At 42.8% G+C, this 2,325-nt stretch overlaps 1 pseudogene; it reads left to right on the top strand.

The window, feature by feature from the left end:
* CCNJP1 (cyclin J pseudogene 1) lies at window positions 464–1,993 on the top strand (annotated as a pseudogene).
* The last annotated feature ends 332 nt before the right edge of the window (window positions 1,994–2,325 follow it).

Here is a 2,325-nt window from a genome sequence, read left to right as displayed (position 1 = left end):
AACACACCTTTCCTAGGAATAAATAAAGCAAGCAGTAAATTACGGATGGGTTGAAATACACAGTTAACAAGCTTGACCTAATGAATATGCATATGCGTGTCCCTGCACCAAACAATTAGGGGAATCATATTCCTCTCAACCACACACGAAACATTTATAAAAACTGACTGCACTGTGAGTCAGAAAGTTCTTTAAATTTTTCGTAGTACTGGCATCTAATAGACCACATTCACCAAAATTTAATTAGAAATCAGCAATAAAAAGGTAACTAAAACTCATGCATTTAGACATTTCAAAAACATACTTTATAAAGATCTTTTTATTCTGAAAATCACACACTTTTTAATTCGTGGGTCAAGGAAGAAATTAACATGGGAATGTTTCATTACTTGAAACTGAACCGTAATAAAATCTTATACATTAAAAATGTTAGTATGCACTGGGAGCTGCCTGCCGGTCCTTTAACAACCGGCAGCGCGAGCGTCCAGTCGCTAGGCCAGAGCTGAGACCCGCGCTTAGCAGCAGACTGTCTGCAGCGTGAGCGGGGCTGGCGTCCCCAGCACGCCGGAGGGGCTGGGGCTGTGAGGGCCGCGGTTCCGGACTCAAGTTACAGCGTCGGGCTGGGCGCGCCGCCGGGTCCCATGGAGTTGGAGGGGCAGTGGTGGCGAGGGCAGCTGGCCGCCGACATTCACCAAGCACTTCGCTACAGGGAGCTGAAGTTGCCCTCCTGTAAAGGCCAGTCCCCTCAATTAAGTCTCAGACGGTATTTTGCTGACTTGATTTGCCACTGTGAGCAATTGCTTCCATGCCTTTGCCCTTCTGCCCGCCATCTTGCTGTCTAGTTTACTGGACCTGTTCATGGACCGCTATGACATCTCTATCCAGCAGCTGCATTGAGTTGCGCTTTCCTGCCTGCTTCTAGCAAGTAAATTTGAAGAAAAAGAAGAAAGTGTGTCTAAGCTGGAGCAGCTCAACAGCCTGGGTTGTATGACTAATATGAATCTAGTATTAACAAAACAAAATTTGCTACATATGGAACTATTATTATTAGAAACCTTTCAGTGGAACCCCTGCCTTCCAACAGCCGCCCATTTCATTGAGTATTATCTCTCTGAAGCAGAACACAAAACAGGTCTTCATGACGGCTGGCCAATGATTTGCTTGGAAAAGACTAAATTCTAAATGGCCAAATGTGCAGATTACTTCCTGGAAGTATCTTTGTAAGATTACGCCTTTCTAAAGTATGCACCTTTAGTAGCTGCTGCGTATGTGGCTTCTGCGAGGATTATACTTCGTCTTTCTCCAACGTGGCCTACAAGACTGCATCGTCTTACTGCTTACTCTTGGGATTTCTTAGTGCAGTGTATTGAACAGCTATTGATCGCTCATGATAATGATGTGAAAGAAGCAAACAAACGGAGAGGGCAAGCAGGACCTCAGTCAGCACAACTAAGTGTGTTCCAGAAAGCCTCCCAGCCCTCACGGCTAGTTCATTTTCAGCAACCTCAATATCTCCATTAGACACCTCAGACCTCACTGCAGTATCGCCATCCTAGTCAGAACCACCAAGCTGTCAGCATATTGTATCGACCACACACACTTCATCTTACACACTACAGACATGTCCTGCTGGCTTCCAAGCTAGTGTTCAGGGCCTTGGGCACATGCAGACTAGTATTGGAATGTCACTGGCAATACCAGTAGAAGTTAAGCCTTGTCTGAGTGTTTCTTATAACCGGAGTTATCAGATAAATAAACATTACCCTTGTATTACTTCGTGTTTTGAAAAGTGATTATGTGTGAAGCTGATAACTGACCCAGACTGCTTTGTGACTATGGGTGAGCGTTTTGTAAACTTCTGTTCAAAAGGAAGGGGATCTAAGTGACATCAGAACTCTTCAGGTACCAGCTCCAGGAAGACTGAATATCCCTTTTAATGCACCATGAATCCTGGGAGGACTAAGCAAATTAACAGTGTGTCAAATTCTGTTACAACAAATCCCTGTATGACAAAAATGTTCAAGTCCTGGCTGATGGTCCAAATATTGCGAAAATATTCAATACAACAGAAAATTTGGGCAGACTCCAATTTGCCATTTTGAGATTTGACCTGTGGTATAGCATCTGGGCCTAATGTTGGCTTCTAAGTAAAAGACTAAATGTTTACCTTATCTGTGGACTTGCCAAACAGTCTTTTATGAAGGAAAGTTACAGTATTAATTTTTGAAAAGGTTTTTTATTCTGCAAATTTTTTTGTTCTACACATGATTTTAGAACTAAGTTTAAACTCATGAATTGTTATGCTATACCAATCTGCAGTAAAAA

The sequence above is a fragment of the Homo sapiens genome, chromosome 7, assembly GCF_000001405.40.
Source record: "Homo sapiens chromosome 7, GRCh38.p14 Primary Assembly".
Taxonomy (NCBI): domain Eukaryota; kingdom Metazoa; phylum Chordata; class Mammalia; order Primates; family Hominidae; genus Homo; species Homo sapiens.
Note: the sequence above shows the minus strand (reverse complement) of the source record. Positions and strands in the feature narration are given on the sequence as shown.